This window comes from Homo sapiens, chromosome 6, assembly GCF_000001405.40.
Source record: "Homo sapiens chromosome 6, GRCh38.p14 Primary Assembly".
NCBI classification, from domain to species: domain Eukaryota; kingdom Metazoa; phylum Chordata; class Mammalia; order Primates; family Hominidae; genus Homo; species Homo sapiens.
In genome coordinates this window covers 89,601,130-89,625,685 of record NC_000006.12, presented here as the reverse complement: position 1 = coordinate 89,625,685, position 24,556 = coordinate 89,601,130, and the positions used below count along the sequence as shown (strand labels likewise).

Below are 24,556 nucleotides of genomic sequence, written 5' to 3'. Positions count from 1 at the left end.
ATAACGTTTTCTCAGGTGTGAAAGCAATATTGTTATGAAGTTGAAAGTGTTATTCTTATTCTAAACATTCTGAAATATTTAGAGATGCCCTGTCAGGACAGTCTGCAACTAAATCTGAAATAGTTCAAGAGTTAAAAAAACATGTGTGTCAGAGAGACAAGGCAAATGCAGCAACATATTAACTGGCTGACTACAGGGATTATATACAAGCATTCACTCCATTATTCTGTGAACTTTTCTGTATGTTTGAAAACTTTTAAAATAAAAAGTTGGGAAAAGAAAAAAATACATAATTATTCTAATTTTGTATGCAATGGGAAAGGAGTGTAGCAAAAATTGACATATAAAAAGATTGACATATAAAAAAACTCAAAAAAGATAAACTCTAATTTTTTTTTTTTTCTAGACAGAGTCTTGCTCTGTCACCCAGGCTGGAGTGCACTGGAATGATCTCTGCTCACTACAACCTCCACCTCCCAGGTTCAAGCAATTCTTATGCCTCAGCCTCCCGAGTAGCTGGGATTATAGGTGTGTGCCACCACACCAGGCTAATTTTTGTATTTTTAGAAGAGGCGGGGTTTCACCATGTTGGCCAGGCTGGTCTCGAACTCCTGACCTCAAGTGATCTGCCTGCCTTGGCTTCCCAAAGTGCTGGGATTACAGGTGTGAGCCACCATTCCCAGCCTAAACCCAAATATTAACAGTGCTTTTCAGCACAGTGGGCTTATAGGTGATTTATTTTCCTAATTTTCATATTTCTAAAAATGCTCTGTAATGGGGATATCTTATTTCTATAATAAGCAATTTAAACATGTTCTTTAAAAAGCTGAAATAAATGTACTTTAACAAAATCACATAAGCAGAAGCAGGCCTCTTCCCTGACAGCCCACTGGACACTCCCAGGGTGGAAGGGTGTGCTAAAGTCGAAGTTGGTTCCTGAGTTCATGTTCTGCCAGAACACCTTGCAATTAGGAAGCTGGGCCTTATGACATACTTGGTGCTGGGTCTTATTCTCCATCTGCCCCAGCTTTGTATTCATTTTGTCCTGAACCGATCCCAGCTCTGCTTTTATCTCCTCCACAGTAGCCTCCAACTGATTCTCCAGCTTGTTGATTAGAGGTTCACATCGACAACCATTTATTGGTGCCTAAGAGAGAAACAAAAAAGGAATCAATCCCTTGTTCATTCCTTCATCAGGTATGTTTTGAGCACCATCCACGTGCCAGGCAGTATACCAGGGGATAGAGATGATGGAAGAGATAGGCTCATCCTTGTCATAACTTTGGAACATCTTATAGGCCAAATTTTGGGTGTAGCAGACACTAAAATTCAGAGGGTAAGATATGGTCCCTCTCCTCAAGGTGCTTTTATATACCCTGGGGCCTCAAGATACCTAGTCACCTGAGGATTGTGCAGCAAGCTCTGCAGCTACACACCCTGTCTGCCTTGGCCTTAGCAGCAGGAGTGGATCTGCACCGTGCAGGTGGGGAGGCCATCTGGCTTACCTTCAAAGCTTGTGCTCAACTAAGTCAATGCCTAAAGTGCCTATCAGCCCCCAGGAATGCCGTTAAACAAAAACCCTTGCTGAAGGCCTATGTTCCCTTCTCCTGACACTGCTTTGCAGGTACCTGCATCACTTTCCCATCCTTGCCCCGGTACAATGTGTAGAGCTGATACGCCCTGAACTCATGGGGTGGGGGTGGGGATGAACACCGATGCCTGTTCCTCTTTTTAGGGTGATTATGAGCATGCAGGTTCTTCTGGTGTCCAGGCTGTTGGTCGGCTGGTGGGGTGGGGTCAGAAAATGCTGACACCTGTAAGAGAGGAAGAGACAACACCCCTGAACGCTTTGACCTCTGCAAGACTGACACCAGTCGGTGGCGCCCATGTCACCCCATTTGGGCAAAGAGCCCCACTTTGTTTCACCTCATGGTGTCCTACTCCAAGCCACACATGTCAAAAGAAATATATCAGCACATTCACCTTATGTCTGATGTTAGCCAGATTTAATTTCTGTGCTCTGGCTCCAAACCAGCCAGCCAAGTGAGTGGCTTTTTAGCTGATGGGCATGACGCTCTGCCAGGACCCTCGCCACCCTGCCTCCCAGCCACCCCTCTGGGCTGCTTTCTGTGTCTCCTGACCTTGGGCCTTGACTTTCTCCTCCTGTCATCCTTTGCTCTGGGTTCTGGGGAGGCTGACAGGAACTCTTCTCTGGCTTCTTCTTTTCTGGCCACAGCCTGTTCACTGCTGGGGGTGTCTCCTGCTGAGACACTGCCCTACAGAAGGAAAAAGCCCAGAGACCCATTGTGTTTGCTTCCTTGGCCTTTTTCACTAATATGGTCAAATATTCTTTGCAAGATTCCATATGGTAAGGGACCCACGAGAACCTTTGCAAATAACATAAATTTCAGACATAGGAAACACTGCTTGGTGGTCTTAACTAACATAGAACGTTTTCCTGGTTGGTTGAACATTTGGCTTTTATTGTATTTATTAGGTCCTAAGCTAAATATATTCCTGGGTCCAATTCGATGTTGTAGAACACCAGGAACCTACCCGACACAAAACACCTCAGCATTAGAGATTTTTGATCGTTTAGATTTCAACAAAACATAACTCACTCATTCTTTGACCTCGGATGCAGCCCCCCTCCCGCCCCCCCCACCCCCCACTCCCCCACCCCAACCCACAACACTCATGGCAAAGAGTAAGAATCCTTTGAAATGAAAAAATATCATATTTCTGGTCCTTGTGAGAACGTTCACAACTGAATATGTACAATTCACATCTAGGAAGTTAATCAGAGTTGTAATGCCTTAACCCTGGAAATTGATGAGAGGATTGTGAAATAGCAGATAGAAGAGCAAGTACTTGGTGATAACATTTTCTGTGCCAAAAGCTGTCTCTATATCCCAGACTTCTCCCTCCTGAGTGAACTCAAAGGCATGGTTTATTCCAGGGCTACACGGCACAAGAGCACCTAGCTGAGGTGGAGGTGTGGGGCAAGAGGAGCTGAAATCAGCTCGGGCTCTGCTCACCATGCGTGCCCTGTGCACAGTGGGTCTGCCCAGGGGACATCTTTTTCTAATTCATATAAGGGAGCCATACAGGCTAGCATAGCCTTGCTCCCCTCCCTCAATGGAAGTGGCCTGTGCCAGTGGCTCTCAAATTTTAGTCCCCATGAGAATCCCCTGGAGGGCTTGTTCCAACACAGATTGCTGGGCCCCACCCGAGTTTCTGATCCTGTGGGTTTGAGGTGAGGCCCAAGAATTATCATTTCTAATAAGGTCCCAGGTGACACACTGGACACCACATTTTGAGAGCCACTGCCCTACACAATCTGGGCATGGTGTTAGAGAGGCAGTGCTACCCGCAGGACATGGGCAAAGGCCACAGATACCTGGGCTGGTAAGTGTGCCCCCCACGTGTACTGGACGGGTAATGGGCAGCGCACACGGAGGCACATGGCCTGAAACCTTGGGGAATGGAGGATGTGAAACCAAAGAGAAAAAGACTGGCAACAGTTTGAAGAGCTCCAGCAAGGAGGAGAGGCAGAGAGGGCCGGGCAGCCACCAGGTGAACCTGGCCGAAGCAGGGAGATAGTTTCCCACCCTCTGAGCATGGGTGGATGTGGGGACGGCGGGAGGACTGCCCCCCACCTTGCTTTGGGCCACCTCATCTCTTGGCACAGACTGGGCTCTCCTCTCTTCCTTGAGCCTCTCTCTCTTTTTCCTCAGGCTTCGCCCACGACTGAAGCGCAAGACCTGAAGGAGGCAAACGGCATTGTTACAACCACTGGTGTGCGCAGCATCTGTGTGAGAGAATTCTCCTTGGACCTGGGGCTCTGACCTAATGGAATTTACAGCTTAGAGGGTGAGAGCAGGTGTTCACATCAAGCAAGCACCTCTGGACCACCTACCATCCTCCTAGGTCTTGTCCTGGGCACCACGGGGACTCGGAGACAGGTAGGATATTATCCCTGACCTCAAGAAGCTTAAAGTCTATGATGATAATAACTACAGACACTGATGCTGGGCCGGGACTGCCAACTACATGCACAGAGACTGTGCTCCAGGGAGTGCCATTCACATAAACTAGGATATGAATGGCGTCTCCTGGAGTTGTGCAACGCAGCAGCCCCGTGTGAGGCACAGTCTCACTCTCCATCTTGGTACACTGGACTTGAGCTAGCCCAGCAGATGTTCCCTTGGCCAAACTGTGTCCAAGTCACATCAATTTGATTCAAAATATTATTAAAGTGTATCTATGAGCCATAGTACCAACCACGGGACAGTTATCTCTTCCCCAAAAGGAAGCATTTACTCTGCCTCTTACAGTGCAGAGTGACAGAATGGACACAGAAAAACATAGGTGGGTCAGAACAGATCTCAGTTTGAACCCAGTAGCTACTGGCTATAGGGTCTCTGGGCAAGTGATTTGACCTCTCTGCGCTCTGTCTTCTCAAATGTAAAAACGGGTCAGGCGCAGTGGCTCATGCCTATAATCCCAACACTCCGGGAAGCCAAAGTGGGAGGACTGCTTGAGGGCAGGAGTTTAAGAGCAGCCTGGCAGACAAAGCAAGACCTTGTCTTTATTTTTTTATTATTATTTTTTTTTGAGACAGAGTCTCACTCTGTGCCCCAGGCTGAAGTGCAGTGGCGTGATCTCGGCTCACTGCAAGCTCCGCCTCCCGGGTTCACGCCATTCTCCTGCCTCAGCTTCCCGAGTAACTGGGACTACAGGCGCCCGCCACCATGCCTGGCTAATTTTGTTTTTGTATTTTTAGTAGAGACGGGGTTTCACCGTGCTAGCCAGGATGGTTTTGATCTCCTGACCTCATGATCTGCCCATCTTGGGCTCCCAAAGTGCTGGGATTACAGGCATGAGCCACCGCACCCGGCCTCGTCTTTATTTTTAAAAAAGAAAAAGAAAGAAAAACGGGGAGTCGTTGGGATTCACCAAGAAAAAATAGGTGGCTGGCATGCAGTGGACTGTCAGTCACTGTCAGGTGCTTCCCTACCTGCCTTCAGGTGGCTTAATTGGCAGGGGGTGTTTAACAGAATACAGATCTTTGAGTTGATGGAAACCTTCAATCTCTGGTCCGTAATAGTTAAAAATGTAAAAGAGTCCTTAGACCAAGAAGTCTGAGAACCACTTCCCCGAGTCATTTCTAAAGCTAAATTCAGATTCACCAGGAAATCAAGTATGGTGAAAGACAGTGACTATACCCATTGCTCACCTGATGTATGGACTCTTAATACAGCACCAGGATCAGCCTAAAATGTACTTTCAGAGCGTTCGTGAACCACACCAATCAAAATGACAAGTGACACTCAGAGGTCACCCAAACCCAAAATAAGAATCAGCAAAATTCCCTCCATTCACCATATCATTAGTCAGTGAAAATAACTTTGCATGGCTTCCAGCCTTTCTCAGCAAACCAGACCATCTACGAAATGGGATGTCATTAATCTTTTCCAGTCCACAGAAGTGAGGGAATATTGACCTTGAGGCCTCCAAAAGTAGTATCCTATGGCTGGGCATGGTGGCTCACGTCTGTAATCCCAGCACTTTGGGAGGCCAAGGTGGGTGGATCATCTGAGGTCAGGAGTTCGAGACCAGCCTGGCCAACATGGTGAAACCTCGTCTCTACTAAAAATACAAAAATCAGCTGGGTGTGGTGGCAGGCACCTGTAATCCCAGCTACTCAGGAGGCTGAGGCAGGAGAATCGCTTGAACCCCAGAGATGGAGGTTGCAGTGAGCTGAGATTGCACCACTGTACTCCAACCTGAGTGACATAGCGAGACTCTGTCTCAAATAAATAAATAAACAGTATCCTCTTAGTACTGCTGTGGCCCATTTAAAATCCACGTCCAACTACGGGCCTAAGGCAAGGGGATTTTCTCTTTTCAGGCAAAGCAAATACTAATGCTATTTCTGTAACCACAGATCAAGAGAACAGTATGCGTAACATCTTATGCCTAAAGTTCCTTGTTTGTGTTGAGAAAAAGCCTCAGCATATACAATTATGCATAAAATAAACTTTCATAGCATGCCATCCAACTTATTTGTTATTCGATGTAAGCATGGAGAAACCTGCTTAAGTCTTTTTTTGTTTTAAGTGGAAACAAAAAAGAACTGCACAGGGAAATGGTCCACAGTAAGGCTCTTTGCCCTTTAAGTGAAGATCCTTGGGCTCTGGAAGACAAATGACAGGTGGATTAAAGATCCGTCAATCTTTCTATGCCTGGGGAACCCTCCAACCCTGTAAGACTTGATCTTTGTATGGCTGAGGGTGGGGCTGGCTGTCCATTAAATTACCACATACTGAAATTGCCAGAGAAATGTGATGGGTTCTGACGTTTATACAGCACTTCATACTTTTAGATCCATGAGAGACTAGCATTTTTCTATCAGGATTCATGGATGTGATTCCACTTACGATAAAAGCTGCTAGAGGTGGAAACCCCGCAGCTTTTCCTACTGACTTTCTTTTGTCGGGAGCTCTGTGGCCTTCCAGAGACCACTGAGAAGGACCAGCTCCATGCACAAGAAGGTGATCAATTTTGCAAAAGACAAAAATCTTAACCATTTCCAGAAACTACTAGTTATATTAGGCACGTTTTAAAAACTTAAACAAAATAAAGGCCATCCCAAACCCTGGGCTGTTGTCGGGTTATTTTGCAGCAGGGTTGTGTTCAAAATCTTCCTTTGACTCCCTGAGACTTTATCTTCTTCTTGCAGAATAAGATGGAAAGCCAATCAGTGTTTGCTGTAATGTAATACAGAATAGTGCCAATCTGGAAATAACCTAAATGTCCAACATTAAGGAAATGGCTTAATAAACTATTAATAGCAACAAAAATAATATTATGCCTCCATTATAATGAATAATTATGAAGACTGCAGAACATTGTTTTATAATAGGATAAAAGGAAGAAATACAAAAGGGTATATACATTGTAAGCACAATTATGTAAAAATTATGTGTCTGTTTCATCTATTTTGTGGATGAAACAAAAACAGTTGTTTCAGGGGGCTAGAATTATAAATAGCTTATAAATTATTATGACATTTCTTTATTGTTACTTAGATAATGTCAACCTCAACTAAAGTATCAGCCACCATTTTAAAAAAAATTAAATGATGGTCAAAATACCATTAGTCAGTAAAAGAGGAAAGAAAACTAGACTGTACTTAACTATCTCCGGCAGGCGACTATCTGCCCAGAATCGTCCCCTCCCTCCTGCCTTTCTCTGGGGAATGCCACTTCTCTTCTTAAAGTCCCTGTCCCACTTCTTCAGGGATGGGCATTTGGCCTAAACTCTGCAATCATGGCCCTGTCCTGCGATGTCTTAAACTGGAACTTCTTCCTTGGCTGAGTAGCTGGGAAACTATGACCTAGGCAGCTGGCCGTGACAAAGATCCAGCCACAGGGAGAAGATGAGGCGGCCCAGGCATGAACACGAAGAGCTGGACTTGATGCCTTTGACTCCCGTCATCCTGGGCCCCCATGCATGCCTATACCTCCACTGCCTGGTTACATTCCATATTTAAGTTAGTTTGAAGAGGCTTCAGTAGATTGCAACCAGGAGTCCCAACAACTTTGTAGTCCCGCATAATCAGTACCATGGAAAGGGCAGTAAATCCTACCTGGGGAGCTTTAGTAAGGAGAAGAGCAACTTCCGGGTTATTGTGGTAGCGGGCAGTCTCCAGCGGAGTCTGGCCTGCCTGAGGAGAGGCAGAGTAGGACAGGTGAGAAAGGGCCACGGGTCCCACACGCACATAGCCCAGCTGGCACAGCTCTGGCCAGGAGCAGGCAGTTCCACACCCAGTCACACCCAGCACCTACGTGGCAAAACATGGCCACCTATGTGATATGGCCCTGGTCATCAGCCTCAGACCCTCCAGTGAGGGAGGTGGGTCACACTGGAAGACACGCTAAGTAAAATATATGACACCAGAGGGCAAGGGCAGACCAAGGGGGCAAGAAGTGCTTTAGGAGGCCAAGGCCTGGGTACCACCCACCAAGGAGTGCTTCCCTGCAAAGAGGGGAGGGAACGTAGCACTCAGACAGCATCCAGGGGGAATGTTTCAGTTGGGGAAACACCACAGAGGATCTGAGGCCCAGCCCAGTGATTAATCTCCCCTGGAAAACAGTGGGAAGACGCCGGAGGAGCAGATCAGGGCTGGCCAGAGAGATTCAGGAAGTTGAATATGAAAAGCAACTACGAGTTATGGCCATAATGTAGGTTCTCAGGAGATGAAGCCAAAACCCAGGAGTTGATAGCAAAAGGAAGATATTCAAGGCATCATGGAACTGCACCCCCAGTACTGGTTGTAGAGCTAAAAGAAGGCAGGAGGAGAAAGAGGGGAGCTAGATACAGGAGCCAAGGAAGCTGAAGAGCCTTGTGCCAGCTTCAGCAGTCCCAGACCACACACCCCTCAAAAAAACCTCCACACAGCAGCTGTTGCACCCTCCAGGCCCTGCTGAACCATTCAGAGGGGCAGAGACCGCAGGACAGCCTCGAAGAAGAAAGCGCACCTGAGCTGGTGCCTGCTCTAGGATCTGCAGGACACACAGTGAGAGGGGGAGAGGGAAAGGGAAACAGTGAGGTCAGGCAAAGTGGAAGAGAAAGGAGTTGCTTTAGAATTTTGAAGCTGACTAAACTGAGGGCCATGTGGCCATTTTTCTGAGCATCACATGCATTTACAGCTTGGAACTCACTTTGGGTAACATCCACTCGTCAGTTTAACTGGACATCCCTGAGTTCTTTTTCATGCCAGGTTGTGTTCACTGCAGTCAGGCAGCTAAAAGCAGGCCCCAAGGCTTGTCAACTCCTGGGGCTGCTCAGAGCAGGGGTACCCTTCAAGTCCACCCCAATGGCCCTGGGGGCTGTGGTTCCAGCAGAGATCCCCCGTCTTCCAGAGTGCGCTGGGCCTGGGGGTCTGCAGGGGTTTAGTACACATCCCATTCTGGAAAGGGGTGGGAACCACTTTAGAAAGCAATGTTGCAACTCAACTTACATTGTTAACAATGGTCGTATCTGCTCCGGCTTCCAGTAAGATTTTGGCCACCTTCTTGTGATTTAGGGCAGCAGCAACGTGAAGTGCTGTGTCTCCAGCCTGGAATTGATTAGAAGGTCTGCTAAACCTCATCTGCTCATGGCCTACAGCCCCCAGCTTTTCATTACCTGGCCTAGGTGTGGCTCTTCAAAGTCAAACTGAGATTTGCCTGAGACTGAAATGGGGCCCTTTGTTAAAGCGTTATGAGGCTCTACTTAAAGAGGTCTTGGAACTAAGTGACCTCGGCACCAATATCACCTTTCTTTCTGAGTGAGGATACCTGAAATCACGCAGCAGGATTAAACGCAGGGGCAAAGTAATGCTGGCCTGGGTTGTTGAGAATGGTGGGACCTGAAGCCTCACGAGGACAGGAGGACAGGCAGGAGGCCTGGGGCAGGCAGGCTAGTCATTCCACTTTTGGCTCTGTTCTTTTACCCAGGGAGGTCAGAGGTCAGAAAACTGCTTGGTGTCTGAGTGCTGGATTGAGCAGGAGAAGCCGTGAAGATGGCTACTTCTGCAAGCACCGGAGAGGTGACAGGCCAGCCTGCAGCTACAGCGGGTAGATCTGAAGGGGCCACTGGGACTCAATCCATCTGCAGGCTCAGGATATGCTTTGTGCGGGTGGAAACACCAAGAACCAGTGTTCACTCAAGACCAACTGTTTTCTACATCTTACAGATAGCCTATAAATAAATGTTCATATTATCTTTATACAAGAAATATGCTTTCACAAAATCAACTATGAAAGGAGGATAAAGACAACTGCAGCTTAGTGGGCCAATTCCAAATGCAAATGCTGTCATTTTCCAAACACAATGATATAAATAAACCAGACAAATATAGGAGAAGTGAAACAATTCATTCTTTCTCCTATCAGGTGATCAGGCAAAGCGCCTGATACTTTTTTCCTGGGTAGCATGAACATTCAGCCATCTTTGTGAGGGGTGGGAAAATTTTTATTTCATTTCTGAGTCACTTAGCTATGTGTATTGAAGGGAAGCTCTGCACAGTGCTTTCCCCTTGGCTGAATATTGGAATAAGCTTCAGAGCTTTAAAAAATGATGATGCCTGGGTCCCACTCTCAGAGATGCTGAATTCATTGGTCTACCATGTGGGCTGGGCAGGGGGACTTTTTAAAGCTCTCAAGTGCCGTGACACGCTGCCAAGGTTGAAAGGCACTGGTTGGTGGGGGCTATGCAGGGGTCACCTGATGATCTAGCACCCCACTGGGGAGGCCGTGCTACTTGATTAGGTCAGTGGCTGTATACTCAGACAGAGAGCTTTTTAAAAACACCATTGCCTGGACCTCACCCCCAGAGGTTCTGACTCTTTCAACTGGGGTGGGATCCAGGAACAGTATTCTTAATTCCCCTGTTGATTCTCATATGCAGCCAGGGTCAGAAACCACCATTCCATGGTATTTTTAATCTACACCACAATCTAATTTTTTTTTTTTAGTTAAGATTTATGCACTCCAACAAAGAAAAGTGAAACAATGTACCACATAGGTGTCAATAAATACCAAGACAATCTAATTTTCAAATCCAATGACTGCTGGAAATTGTGCACATTTCTAAGGAAGACGGTAATATTCACAGCTTTATTTCAAAACCCCATTGCATGGCACTCTCTACAGATTATATGCCCAATTTTATGGGAATGAAAGACTATCAGCTCAAGTGTAAGTAAGTGGCAGTGCAAGGAACAGAACTTAGGGAGTTATAAGACTTCTAATTCCTATGCTTGCTTGGTGGGTTTTTTTTTTTGTTTTTTTTTTTTTCCTTTAAAGAGACGGGGTCTCATTCTGTTGCCCAGACTGGTGTGCAGTGGCAAGATCATGGCTCACTCACCACAGCTTCAAACTCCTAGGCTCAAACAATCCACCTGCCTCAGCCTCCTGAGTAGCTGGAACTACAGGCACATGCCACTCTGCCCAATTTTTAAATTTAATTAACTTATTATTTATTTATTTTGAGATGTAGTCTTGCTCTGTTGCCCAGGTTGTAGTACAGTAGCATGATCTCGGTTCACTGCAACCTCTGCCTCCTGGGTTCAGGCAATTCTCCTGCCTCAGCTTCCTGAGTAGCTGAGATTGCAGGTGCACGCCACCACGCCTGGCTAATTTTTGTATTTTTGGTAGAGACAGGGTTTCACCATGTTGGCCAGGCCGGTCTTGAACTCCTGAACTCGAAGTGATCCACCCACCTTAGTCTCCCAAAGTGCTGGAATTACAGGCATGAGCCACCACGGCCGGCCAAATTTTTAAAAAAATTTTTTGTAGAGACAGGGTCTCGCTATGTTGCCCGGGCTGGTCTTGAACTCCTAGCCTCAAGTGATCCTCCTGCCTTGGCTTCCCAAAGTACTGGGATGTGAGCCACTGCACCCGGCCTCCCTTGCTTCTTTACTAAATCACATTCTTCCTCGTGGGTTTTCTTTTTAAAATCACATTTAAAAAACAAAGCCTGCCCCAGGATCTCCAGAAAATGTTCAATATGCAAATGTGGTGATATGCACAGGAATTATAAGGGCACACTTTCTCTAGCAGGCCAGATAAGCCAGGGCCACTAGAACTCAGTGTGACACCCATGCAAAGCCCACTGCTGGCTGAGTCCCAGGTAGGTGACATGGCAGCTTCCCAGCAGCCTCTGCTCCCGTTTGCACTAACAGACCTGTCCGGTAGCCTTGTGGGAAGGGTGCTGGCAGCCATGAAGAGAATACATGCACTGACCTGGTTCTTTTCATGGACAGAACAGAAAGCAGTGAGGAGGAGCCTAATGATGGACAAGTGATTATAGCGCGCAGCAACGTGCAAACAGGTGTCTCCTGCCTGCGGACAAAAATCAAACTCTAAGCACAATCTGAGCAGTTACAAAACAAATAGAGAAAAGTAGAAAGAAAATGTTATTTAAAAGCTAGCAGACTATCATGTACTCTTTAGGGAATCATAAGCAGCTCTTTTAACATAGATGCTCCACCCCAAGGCTCGCCATTCTTTGCTGCTGTGGGCAGCCCTGCTCCCTTTCTGCCTGTGCAGAACAACCACGTGGTCACAGAATCACTGCTTCCACGTTTATGAAACTAGACGTCTGCTCCCCATGAGACCTTTCCAAGAGCTAAGGCAGGCTCTGCTTACCTGTGCTTGAGGAGGATCCAGGGACCCTAGCCTCCCTACAACCCAAAAGGTCAGTAGTATACTGACTTAAGACCAACAGCATTGCTTTGGAAATGAGCCCTTCCCAGCATAGATCCCTCATGGATGAAAGGACAGGGCAGCAGGGGGGTTGTCAAATCTTAAGATTACACGTACCCCCTGAAGTTCAAGGAGTATCCCACTTCAGTTGGACCCCAATATCCTATATGGAGCTATGTAGTAGGGGAGCTCATAAGGAAGCAATCACTGGGAGCAAAAAAAGGGTATGAAGAAAAACTCAGGGGCAGGATGCTCAGTAAGCACAACAGGCAGAACCCTGTTCCCACAAAGACAATAAAGAACTGGAGACAAAAAGCTGCCTGCAGTGTTTTCTTGCCATTTCCATCCTAGCTCTGTCTGGAGAACACTGGCCACTTGGCATACTTTTCTCCCCTGCATTAAGACGGAACCAAGCTCAAAGCTGAGGTTCAGAGCATTAGATGAGTCTACCCCAAACAGGGAGACCCTCACCTGAGGACACTTTAGAAAGAAGCCTCAGATTTATTTATTTATTTAGCCAACGTGGCTAAGGCAGGGGATTTATAAAGGAAATACAGCTTCTTTGTGAAGAAGCGATACCCATGTGACCTTTCCGGTCAGCTCATCCCAAGGACGCCTCAGTCATCAGTAGGACCTGCTCGCTATAGATGCTGGGCATGGGGCATTAGAGGACCTCCCCTGTAAATGGCACCAGCTCATATTTGCTGATAATAGTACAACACTCAACACTCTATGTGGGTAGAGACTTTCTTAAAACATTAACTGGTTTCCTAGTCTGTAATTGGCCAGACACGTACTGTAAGAAATGATAAACCAAAGATGAGGCATGAAGGGAAAATGATGGGAGAAAAGCAGTATTTCCAAGTCTTTTGATTCTTCTTCTCACATGCCTGAATGATCCCTTAGAAAATTGCCAAAAAAAGAACACTTTAGAGATAGTCCCCAAATACTTTTTACATTTTAATTTCTAGATGTTAAGGTTCAAGTATGCTCATGAAGTTATTTTCTGAAGTGACACAAGAAAGAGAGAACGTGAGAATCTGGTTTTGTTCACCCACATTATTTTTGAGGTCAGCGCGGGACCCGGCCAGCAGGAGGACGCGCGTGCTCTGGGAGTGGCTGTTCTGGCAGGCCAGGTGCAGAGCTGTGTTCCCCGCCTTGGAGAGAGGCAGAGAGAGGGAGGACATATTAGCAACATGCTTCCGCACAGACTTGCATGCCTTGCAGAGGGGCAGTACTTACTCGGGGGAAAAGGCAACGCTCACATTCTCTGCCTCTTGCCCGATGGTTTCAGTGGGGATGCTTCAGAGGTAAGAACATTTAATTTGGAGTCTGAACAGGCAGAAGAGTCCTATTTGTCATAAAACCTTGGTTCCAAGTCCTGGCTCTGCAACTTACTAACTAAAAGCCAGCCTTTTCAAATGCTCAAATTCCTTACCTGGGAAATGGAGCATGACCCCCACATCCTAAAACTATGGGGATTGACTCAGAGTGTCTAGGAAGGTGTTTTCTTAACACACAATGCTGGACACATGCACAGTACTCAATTCCTATCAGATGACTTCCTGCCCCACATGGGCAATAGCTGTGGTTACAATCCCTGCCAATGGTGGGCTAAAAAAAGTAAAACTAGCCACTTCCTGGAAGGGCAGGCTAATGCAACTGAGATTTAACTTGTTAGCCTTTTTCAAGTCACCCATTCTTGTATTTTTCTTGAAACATCAAAATTTTAACTATGGACACCAGGCCCTGCCTTTCAGGCAGTACAGTTGCATCTATCACTTAGGACACAGATTGAGACCCTCTTGCTTTTTGGGTCCTTCTTGTTTTTGAGAACCTCAACAAACCACATCACAATGACAACCAAGGGTCAGAATAAGGTCCATAGCAATACTGCAGGAAAAAATTGCAGGACATGAACAGAACTTTTGAGTCTATGGGAGTAGGGCATGTGAGGCCGCTGATAACCCCTAGAAAAGTAACAAGAAAGCAAGGCCGTGTGATAGGTGACATTGTGTCATCCAAGAGCCTGCAAGCACTCAGGAGGTTAAACACAGAAGCTCCGCGTTGGTTCTGCTGAGCTCAAGTGCTGGGTCAGGCTTGCAGGTGCGTGGGCTCAGAGCATTACACTGCCTGTTCATTGCTTCTCCCTCACCTAGTTCACACCCTTCTGGATCTCACAGTCCTGGCTGCCGATACTCCAGTATATCAGATTCCTGATCTTTTAAAAAGAGAAATGAGTTAAAAAAAAAAAAAATAGAGGAATACTGGATGCGGCCAGTTTGCTTATCCCCCTTCTCTTCACCTTAGCTCCAACCAGCCCTGGTGGACCTTTTGTCTCACTTTTACCTCCAGGCACAGGGAGGATTACAGGCCTGAGGTTCTAGCAGGCTCGCTGGTTCTCAACCCTTGGGTGCACATTAGAATCACCTGGGGAAGCTTTCAAACCAGCCCTGTGCACAGCCACAACCGTTCTAGGGACTCTGATTTATGTGGCCTTGGGGATGGGTATCCAGCATCCCTATTTTAGTACTGAAAGTCCCACATTCCGGGAAACCCTTTAGCCCAGGGCAAACTGGGACAGTCCATCACCCCAGGCCTGGTCTTCAGGTTTTTTTTTTTTTTAAGTTTTGTTTTTTTTCCTTTTTCGTTTGTTTATAGTTCCCCAGGAGGGTCTAATGTGCAGCCAGGTGGAGAACCACTGCTAGTTTAGTTCTCAGCAACAAGGGGTCTGCCCAGGTTTTAAAAACACTACTCTCAAGTTGTCTGCAAGTTATGGGCTTCATGGCAACCACTAAATACGTGTTGAATACATGAGTGAAATGAAAGAAATCTGATGCCTCTAGAAATAGATCATACCAAAGCTTATATTGCCAATAAGGAAATATCGATGATGTGGAAAAGCATTTGCACCAAGAAAATTAAAAACCATAGGTTTGGATAAACAAATTGTGGTAGATCCACACAATGGAATACTCCTCAGCAATAAAGAGGCGTGAACCATTCCTCCATGTAACGACACGGAGGAATCTCAAAAACATTATGCTAAGTTTAAGAAGCCACACACAGAAGGCCGCATACTGTATGATTCCATTTACATGACCTTTATGAACAAGCAAAACAGATCCGTGGTTGCCCGGGGCTGGGAGAGGGTGACTGGGGGCCTGCCACCAGAGGGCGCAAAGGAACATTAAGGGGCAATGGAAACATTCTATATCTTATGGTGGGGGTTACACAACCGTATACATTTGTCAAAACTCACAGAACAGCGTGACTTCATACCTATATCTCAAAACCTGACATTAGAAAATGTGACCTAGGGTAGATATATATGTAGCAGGCGTTTTTCCCCACCCTGAGTAGTGGGTACTGATTTCCCAGACAGGAGCTGCTACATCTGCTGAATAAGAAGGATCTTTCTACGGGCTATGGCTGGTACAAAATGTCCCTCCCTTTGAGACGCATGAGTTTCCTGACCTGTCCTTCTGAAGCCATTTTATTTACACAGAAACAATTTCTGGGCTGGGTGCAGTGGTTCACGCCTGTAATCCATCACCTTGGGAGGCCGAGGTGGGTGGATCACAAGATCAAGAGATCAAGACCATCCCAGCCAACATGGTGAAACCTCGTCTCTACTAAAAATACAAAAATTAGCTGGGCATGGTGGTGTGTGCCTGTAGTCTCAGCTACTCAGGAGGCTGAGGCAGCGTAATAGCTTGAACCCGGGAGGCAGAGGTTTCAGCAAGCCGAGATCGCGCTCCAGCCTGGCAACAGAGTGAGACTCTGTCTCAAAACAAACAAACAAACAAAAAAACGTGGTGATTACAGGCCGGGTTCGGTGGCTCACTCCTGTAATCCCAGCACTTTGGGAGGCCAAGGTGAGTGGATCACCTGAGGTCAGGATTTCAAAACCAGTCTGGCCAACATGGTGAAACGCTGTCTCTACTAAAAATACAAAAATTAGCTGAGCGTGATGGCAGGTGCCTGTAATCCCAGCTACTCGGGAGGGTGAGGCAGGAGAATCGCTTGAACCCGGGAGGCGGAGGTTGCAGTGAGCCGAGATTGAGCCATTGCACTCCAGCCTGGGCAACAAGAGTGAAACTCTGTCTCAAAAAGAAAAAAAAAAGTGATTACACACCATCAACTCCTGTTCCAGACCATATGCATTTTGAAGAAATGGGCAGCCACCCACCTCCTGAGCTGTGAGCCAGGCACTACCGGCGATATTACCATACGTAGCTTGCTGCTCTCAGACCTCAAGCTTTTGATCCATGAGGGAACCATGAAAAATATGAACTAGGAAACGACAGCACAAAGCTGCATGCGGTGCCAAGGGAGAGTTGCAGAAGCAGCCCAGTGGGTCTTCGGGGAGGGAGAGGGCCTGGGGCCAGGTTGGAGGTCTATAGGCAGGAATGAGAAGCAGGCCAGTGAGCCCCACTCTGAGGGCACAGGAGGTGCTCTAGGGGAAAGGAGCCAGGAGGAACTCCAGAGGTGGGCCAGCAGAGGCTTATAGACAGTGTCAGACAGGAGCTTTATGAGAAGGTCGCTGAGCAGAGGAAGAGCAGGATGAAAGGAGGGACTAGATTTGAGCCTGCCAATCTGCTTGAGGCATCTGAAATAATCCAGGGCATGCTTAAGAATGAGCATGGAAAGAGGAACAGGTGTGAGACTTGAAGATGTCCTAAGATGTAATGAGGGACTGGAGAGGGGAGACGGATGAAAATGACGAAGGCATGGCTTGCTTAACTATGCTCTCTAATGAACCAATGGAAAAGTAGTGAGAGCCAGGAGATTTCACCGGAGGGCAAAGCCACTGAGGTGGGTTCTCTTGCTCCCACAGAGATTACGTTCACAAAGGAGTTTCAGGCTGTCATTTCTATTTCCTGCAGCATGCAAGGTCTGGAGAAGTCACTTCATTGATGGGGTATATTTCTATAGCTTGATTTGCCTGGCATTGCTGTTGAAGATCTTGTATGCAGATGTCTGTGTGTCATAAGCTAGAGATACTATGGTTTCAGATTTGACTTGGCCATGAAATTGTACATATATATATATATATAGTGTGTGTGTGTGTATTAGGGAGGGTACTTACTGCTGCCCATTGTCCCCAGGCTACTGCCACCTAGAACCCCATTCTAGCCCACCTGATTCATTATCCTACCACTATTAGCTGAAGCTACCACTCTGTGATGTGGCAGTGCACTGTGGGAAATTCTCAGGCCCCTGCTACAGACCCAATCTGGCCATCCAGGGAAAGAAAAGAGGGTAAGCCCTTTTATGACCCTTCTTACCTCAACTGCAAATATCTCCAGAGTACTGATAACGCTTTTTTATTTTTGAGATAAAGTATATCTCTTGGCATGGGCACAGTGGCTCACGCCTGTAATCCCAACACTTTGGGAGGCCGAGGTGGGCAGATCACGGGGTCAGGAGTTCAAGACCAGCCTGGCCAACATGGTGAAACCCCATCTCTACTAAAAATAGAAAAATTAGCCAGGCGTGGGGGCACATGCCCAGATACTTAGGAGGCTGAGGCGGGCAGATCACGGGGTCAGGAGTTCAAGACCAGCCTGGCCAACATGGTGAAACCCCATCTCTACTAAAAATGGAAAAATTAGCCGGGCGTGGGGGCACATGCCCAGCTACTTAGGAGGCTGAGGCAGGAGAATCGCTTGAACTCAGGAGGCAGAGGTTGCAATAAGCCGACAGTGTGCCATTGCACTCCAGCCTGGGTGACAGAACGAGATTCTGTATCCAAAAAAAAAAAAAAAAAGTCTCTTCTCCCAATTGTAAAAGAAATAATGGGTTCATTCTGGAAAATTTGGGAAAGGTACAAAAATAAAAATCAATCTTAGCCTCAATTCCCAGAGATAACCACTGTTAATATTCTGATGATATTCTTCTGTGCTTAAATTTTTAAATACACAAATTTATATTAAGCACTGGGACATGTACTATATATGATCTTATATCTCTTTGTGATGTTCTTTAACAGTGGAAAGCATTATTTTCAAAACTACGATTTTAATATTAATTATATTCCACTGTATGAATGAACCATAATTCTAAGTCTCCCTCCCCACAGTTAAAAAAATATAACTACTGCTGTCATGAACATCTTTGTCGGTAAAATTTTACTGGTTTTATTGCTTATTTTTTTCTTTTCCATATTTCATTTCAATAGCAGGTTTTATTACCTTTTTAGGATAGAGTCCAAGAAAGGTAGGTACCAAGTAAAAAGGACCTTTTTTTTTTTTTTGAGACCGGGTCTCACTCTGTCACCCAAGCTGGAGTACAGTGGCACGAACTAAGCTCACTGCAACTTCCGCCTACCAGGTTCAAGCGATTCTTGTGTCTCAGCCTTCCGAGTAGCTGGGATGACGGCATGCACCACCACATCCAGCTAATTTTTTGTATTTTTAGTAGAAACAGGGTTTCACCATGTTGGCCAGGCTGGTCTTGAATGCCTGGTCTCAAGTGATCCGCCTGCCTCAGCCTCCTAAAAGTTTGGGATTACAGGCATAAGCCACTGCACCTGGCCAAAAAAGGCCCACCCCCGCCCCCACCTGCCCCCACGACAGTCTCTCACTCTGTGCCCAGGCTGGAGTGCAGTGGTGCAATCTTGGCTCACTGTAACCTCTGCTTCCTAGGTTCAAGCGATTCTCCTGCCTCAGCCTCCCAAGTAGCTGGGACTACAGGCATGAGCCACCATTCCCGGATAATTTTTGTATTTTTATTAGAGATGGGGTTTCACCATGTTGGCCAGGCTGGTCTCAAACCCTTGACCTCAGGTGATCCACCCACCTCAGCCACCCAAAGTGCTGTGATTACAGGTGTGAGCCACCATGCCAGGCCAAAAAAGGACCATTTTAAGGCTCCTGATTTGTTTTGCCAAATTGTCTCCCAAAGGTGGCTATTCGTATCACACTTTCCCAGCAGCATCTAGGGGAGCCCACTTTACTAATTTTCGGTATTAGCATTTTAAAGTTCTTTTGCTGATTTTTTTAATGCCAACTCCATTGCCATATTTTTTGAATACAAAAAAACTATGGGACAGTAATCGCATGTAGATTCCCAGCAGCAGTCAGGGGCCTCTCACATAAGCAGGGTTTTGGCGCTGTTGGTGCACTTGCTCCTGACCTGGAATATCAATCAGCTTCTAGCCTTTTCTGCAAATGAAACTTCTGGGCCGAATGGACCTTCAGGTTCCTCGTGCCACTCTGGGCTCTCACTCTTCTCACTGGAAGAAGGCTCCCACAGGGGGAGAAACCCACAGCCATCCTCACCTGTGAATGAGGCATTCTAGCATCTGCCAGGCCTCACCTTGTTCTTGGCAAGCACGTTGGCTCCTGCTTTAATGAGCAGCTTGGCTGACTGGCTGAAACCATGCCAGGATGCTTCATGCAAGGCTGTATTCCCATCCTAAGGAAGACACACAGGTGGGAAAGGCACATTACCCAAGACCTAATTCTTCTCATTATGATCAATACATCACAGTGGATTTTTACGGAACACCAGACGGCCTTTCTCAATTGGACTTTCTCATCTGAGCCACAGACTACAGAAGATGATTTGAGTGGTAAGTTTCTCCATTATCCCAGAAATGATACATCATAAGAACCATTCTAGATGCACAGAAGAGAAATGAATCCATGACGAACCATGGATGATTGTTCATAAGGCATTAGAGGTTAAGTCTCTCTAGGAACCCCAGTTGAGAGAGGCTCTAGGCCCCATCCACAGCTCTCGTTTAACAGAAAGCATCATCAGGATAGCATGCCATCTATTTCTTCCCACCTCCACCACCCTTAGAGTCTGCTCTGCTCCTGGCATCAGAGAGAACCCTGCAAAGATCAGGCAAAGGAAGAGGCCATCTTCATAAGATTCAGGGGCCTGATCGATTCCCCAACTTTTTTTCACTGAAACTTAATCTCACCCACCTTAATTCAAAAGCCTCAGGGCCCCAAACAAATAATGAACAGGGACTGAGGAAACAGTGATTTGGAAATAAAACAAACAAGTATCCTCAATGTGTGGCCTTTATTTTTTGAGACAGTCTTGTTCTGTCACCTAGAGTGGAGTGCAGTGGTGTGATCTCAGCTCACTGCCACCTCTGCCTCCAGAGTTCAAGCGATTCTCCTGCCTTAGCCTCCCAAGTAGCTGGAATTACAGACATGCACCACTATGCCTTGCTAATTTTTGTATTTTTAGTAGAGACAGGGTTTCACTATGTTGGCTAGGCTGGTCTTGAACTCCTGACCTCAAGTGATCCACTTGGCTTCCCACAGTGCTGGGATTACAGGCGTGAGCCACCGTGCCCGGCCTAATGTGTTGCTTTTAAATAGAAGTCATTTAATGAACATAGCTCGTATTTGCTTAGCTTACTATTTTAAACAAATAAATATCATTAAGTGCAATGAATTGAGTGGGGTGGGGGCGGGAAGGCAGGAGTTCCAGGGAGGGAAGAGCCCGGAGAAGGAAGGGTGCAGGGCAATCAGCAGAGGTCAGTGCAGGTGCATTCTCCAATTACATCCAGGCTCTGGCTTCAGCTTTAACTCAACCACATCCATGCCCCTAGAAACAGCTAAAAATAAAGGCCTAACACAGCTGACCTCCACAAGGGGAAGTCTAGGGTCTCAAAGGCCAGGGGATGGGGTGGTTGCTGGGAACTGTATTGGCGGTGTGTGGCCCGGGCAGTGGGACTGACTGCAGAAGGAGGAAGCCAAAGGAAAGCGGGGATGCAAGGGGCAGGGGGCACAGGGTATGGGGCTTCTGGGTGCTGGCAATGAGCTGCTTCTTGAGCTGGGTGCTCACACAGGTGTGTTCTGCTAGTGAAATTCAACAAGCTGCACACTTATTTGTCCACTTTTCTGTATGTATATTATACTTTAATGAAAAGTTATTTTTAAAAAGTAAAGCAGAGTTCTTCCCAGCATAGCCTCTTTAAAGAAAAAAAAAAAAAGTAAGCAGAGGCTGAATTGCACTTAATTGTGAAGTTTTGTGTTTTAAGATTGTTTGAAAATTTAAAAACATTAGGTTAATATGTAAGAAGTCATTAGGATTCCTTAAATAATCAATTTTTCTTTTTCTTTTTTTTTTGAGACAAGAGTTTCGCTCTTGTTGCCCAAGCTGGAATGCAATGGCACGATCTCAGCTCACTGCAACCTCCACCTCCCGGGTTCAAGCGATTCTCCTGCCTCAGCCTCCCAAGTAGCTGAGTTTACAGGCATGCGCCACCATGCCCTGCTAATTTTTTGTATTTTTAGTAGAAACGGGGTTTCACCATGTTAGCCAGGCTGGTCTCGAACTCCTGACCTCAGGTGATCTGCCCGCCTTGGCCTCCCAAAGTGTTGGGATTATAGGCATGAACCACTGCGCCTGGCCAATTTTGCTATCTATCTATCAATCTTATTTATTTATTTGTTAAGAGACAAGGTCTCACTCTGTCGTCCAGGCTGGAATGCAGTGATGCAGTCATGGCTCACTGCAGCTTCAACCTCCTGGGCTTAGCAATCCTCCCATCTCAGCTTCCTGAGTAGCTGGGACTACAGGTGTGTACACTACCACGCCTTGCTAATATATATTTTCTTAATTTTCAAATTTTTTGTGGAGACAGTGGTTTGTTATGTTGACTAGGCTGGTCTTGAAGTCCTGGCCTCGAGCAATCCTCCCACCTTAGCCTCCCAAAGTGCTAGGATTACAGGCGTGAGCCACTGTGTTTGGCCCAGTTGAGCTTACTTTTTTTTCCCTGCAATATAGTTTAAAGAAATTAACTTGCTCACTTATCTAAGAAAGTAAAGAGAAAGTCTGGGGCACATCCCTTACCCCCCCGACCCAGGCCTACATAGGTCCTTATTTCTAGATTTTTTTCTTTACCATTTAAGATTTATGTGGTTGTCACTGGTGCCATAGAACAAGGAAAAAGATTTTTAAAAAATACAATTGGCAGCTGGGCACAATGGCTCATGCCAGCATTTTGGGAGGATGAGGTGGGAGGAGCACTTGAGCCCAGGAGTTCCAGGTGCAGTGAGCTATGATCATGCCATTGCACTCCAGCCTGGGCAACAGAGTGAGACCCTCTCTCCAAAAAAAAAAAAAAAAAAAAAAATTACAATTGGCTGGGATACCAGATAGTGTTTCAAAGGAATTTTAGGCTGATTTAATCATGTTAAATCATAAGTGGTAAGACAGGAATTATAATACCTCGAGGACTCAAAAGTTTCCAGAGCGGGCTCCTCCAGCTCCCCTGAGCCACTGGCTTCCCTTGCCTTGGGGAGTAAGGAAGCTCAGTGTCCACTCACCTTGTCTTGTCTGTCCAGGGCACACCCTTCGTGGATGAGCGCCGCGATGATCTCCGTGTTCCCCACCACTGTGGCCCGGTGCAAGGCGGTCTGGTCCCCCTGCAAAGTGACACAAAGGCAGGAACAGCAGTCAGCTCCCCTGCACCCCCTGCTTGCACTACTCACTTGACACTTGGACACAAGGACCCCTCCCGTCCCCACACAGAGCAGAGCGGTTATTCGCAGAAGGGCTTGGTTACCACAGGCAAGGCGGGCTTTGTGGTCTTGTTAGTAGACAACGCACGCTGGCAGAGAAATTTTGTTCATAAACTAAGAGGGGGACCTTAAGCCGACAGCAAGAATAGCCCTCGGCCACAGAGCCAACCTCAAAATGAGGGTCAGGCTCTCTCCTGCCATCCAGGGGCTATGACTATCACAGGTGTGAAGAGTGGGTGTGAGGGCAGGTGTGTGCTATGCAATTAAAGCAGCAATGCCTGGAATCTCTACTGCCTGCCGAGTTTCCAGCTTGCAGGGGGACCACTGTCCAGCTCTGCCAGTTAGCAGCACTCATGATTTGATGACAGGCGGGTCATTTGTTCATTGACCTGTACTAGTCAACGGCAATGCAGGGGTTTGCCCTATTTCATCTGAGGACTCCAGGGACTGCAGCTATCACTGCATATTTCTAAGAAGCCTCTTCAGAGAGTTCATGACAACATCCTCACTGATTTATGCTGCACTCTGAGCCCTCTTCTCTATGATCGGATTCCTGGGATTGCCGGCCGTTGTTCTCCTTTAGGCGCCAAAGGGAACTTGACTCTTCCTAATTGCAGTTGAGTGAAGGATGAAACACTCCCAGAGGTAAGCAGGTCAAGACTGTAACAGGAGAGTTCTGAAGTCTCTAAGAGCACCCTTTATCTCTGACAGGTCCTCAGGAAGCTAAGTTGAGGTAAATCAAGCTGAGCCTGTGGTCCAGCCTTGAAAGGGAGGATGGGTGGGCAGTGTGGAAATGTTCTGGTGGAAAGCAATGAGCACGAGACAAGGGGTCAGGAGGCCTGGGCTGTGCATGGCTTGCTAGAAGCCTGTCACCCTGCTGGACCTCAGGTGTGTCACCCTGGATGATCCCAGGGTCCCTCCATTGCCTTCTTGGATTCTATGATGTGGCTGGTCAGAGTTTTGTGAAGTTTCCTGGCAGAGCACCAGAGGGGCAAAGAAAACATTCTGGGGCGTCCCTGGTGCTTGGCCCAAAAGAGGACAGAGGCCATCATAAGATAAAACAGATTTTTTAAAAGAAGGATGCACTGCTACCTATAAACAACCTTAACGAAATACTGATTCTACTTACTAAACTCCCCAGATCTGTAACAAACAATGCACATTAAAAACATGTAATCTGAAACAAAGTTCTAAAGATAGATGGTGGTGATGGTTGCACAACAATGTGAGTGTACTTAATGCCACTGAACCGTATACGTAAATATGTTCAGACAGTAAATTTAATGCTATGTATATTTTATTACAATAAAAAATCCTAGTTAAAACTCAAAATTGCTTTCTTAAAATTAAAAAGTCTCCCTTTAAAAATCCATGAAAGGATTTTTCTCTTTTAACTTTTTATACTTTTTAATATTTTCCAGCTTTTTATATTTAACACGGATAACTTTTAGCATCAGGAAAAACCGCTACTTATTAGAAGTCTGAGCAGAAACAATACCCCAGTAACAGGACTGTCCCTGTCACAGACTCTCTTCCCACTGTTCATTTGTGGAAGGTAAGGAATTTCTGCAGTGAGGGGGGGTCAGGACACTGAGGACAGATCACTGTCCTCAGCACTGCCACCACCGACCTCCCCCCTTCAGCATCCTAAACTATTATTCCTGTTATCAGTTAGGTTCAGGCTGATTTTCTTCTCATCCACCTTCCCAGACCCCTTATTCAAAGAGAACCCTTGCAGTGGTTAAAAAAAGAATGTGGCCGCTGGGTCAGTGGCTGCAGGAGGTAGGCTGTGCCATTTGCGCT

General features: G+C 46.5%; 1 protein-coding gene and 1 long non-coding RNA gene across 53 annotated transcripts in view, besides 1 other annotated feature; one reads left to right on the top strand and one right to left on the bottom strand.

The window, feature by feature from the left end:
* Nucleotides 1-24,556, bottom strand: part of ANKRD6 (ankyrin repeat domain 6) — a 200,683-nt gene that overhangs the window by 8,149 nt on the left and 167,978 nt on the right. For 10 of the 51 annotated variants that reach the window (XM_047418408.1, NM_001242809.2, NM_014942.4 and 7 more), the window contains 10 exons: nucleotides 22,559-22,657; nucleotides 19,581-19,679; nucleotides 13,316-13,414; nucleotides 11,796-11,894; nucleotides 9,029-9,127; nucleotides 7,655-7,732; nucleotides 3,660-3,764; nucleotides 2,142-2,276; nucleotides 1,629-1,814; nucleotides 995-1,147 (listed from right to left, as the gene is read on the bottom strand). In XM_047418408.1, coding sequence (XP_047274364.1) covers nucleotides 995-1,147; nucleotides 1,629-1,634 — 159 coding nt within the window. In that variant the 5' untranslated portion in view covers nucleotides 1,635-1,814; nucleotides 2,142-2,276; nucleotides 3,660-3,764; ... (4 more) ...; nucleotides 19,581-19,679; nucleotides 22,559-22,657. Of the gene's footprint in view, nucleotides 1-994; nucleotides 1,148-1,628; nucleotides 1,815-2,141; nucleotides 2,277-3,659; nucleotides 3,765-7,654; nucleotides 7,733-8,729; nucleotides 8,813-9,028; nucleotides 9,128-11,795; nucleotides 11,895-13,315; nucleotides 13,415-19,580; nucleotides 19,680-22,558; nucleotides 22,658-24,556 lie in introns of those variants that run through there. The other 41 variants (XM_047418412.1, XM_047418401.1, XM_024446358.2 and 38 more) reach the window with 13 other exon arrangements.
* Nucleotides 3,761-20,282, top strand: LOC124901359 (uncharacterized). 2 transcript variants are annotated; one of them, XR_007059673.1, is made up of 2 exons: nucleotides 3,761-3,965; nucleotides 19,755-20,282. It is a non-coding gene; the product is annotated as an uncharacterized LOC124901359 (long non-coding RNA). The 2 variants fall into 2 exon arrangements; XR_007059674.1 differs by lacking the exon at nucleotides 19,755-20,282 and adding an exon at nucleotides 9,507-9,912.
* Nucleotides 16,105-16,304: a silencer, noted in NCBI's record as "fragment chr6:90319101-90319300 (GRCh37/hg19 assembly coordinates)". NCBI's record gives its function as "represses an EF-1alpha promoter that drives an FKBP-Casp9 reporter gene in an ReSE screen in K562 erythroleukemia cells {active_cell/tissue: K562}" and the evidence as "EXISTENCE:reporter gene assay evidence [ECO:0000049][PMID:32094911]".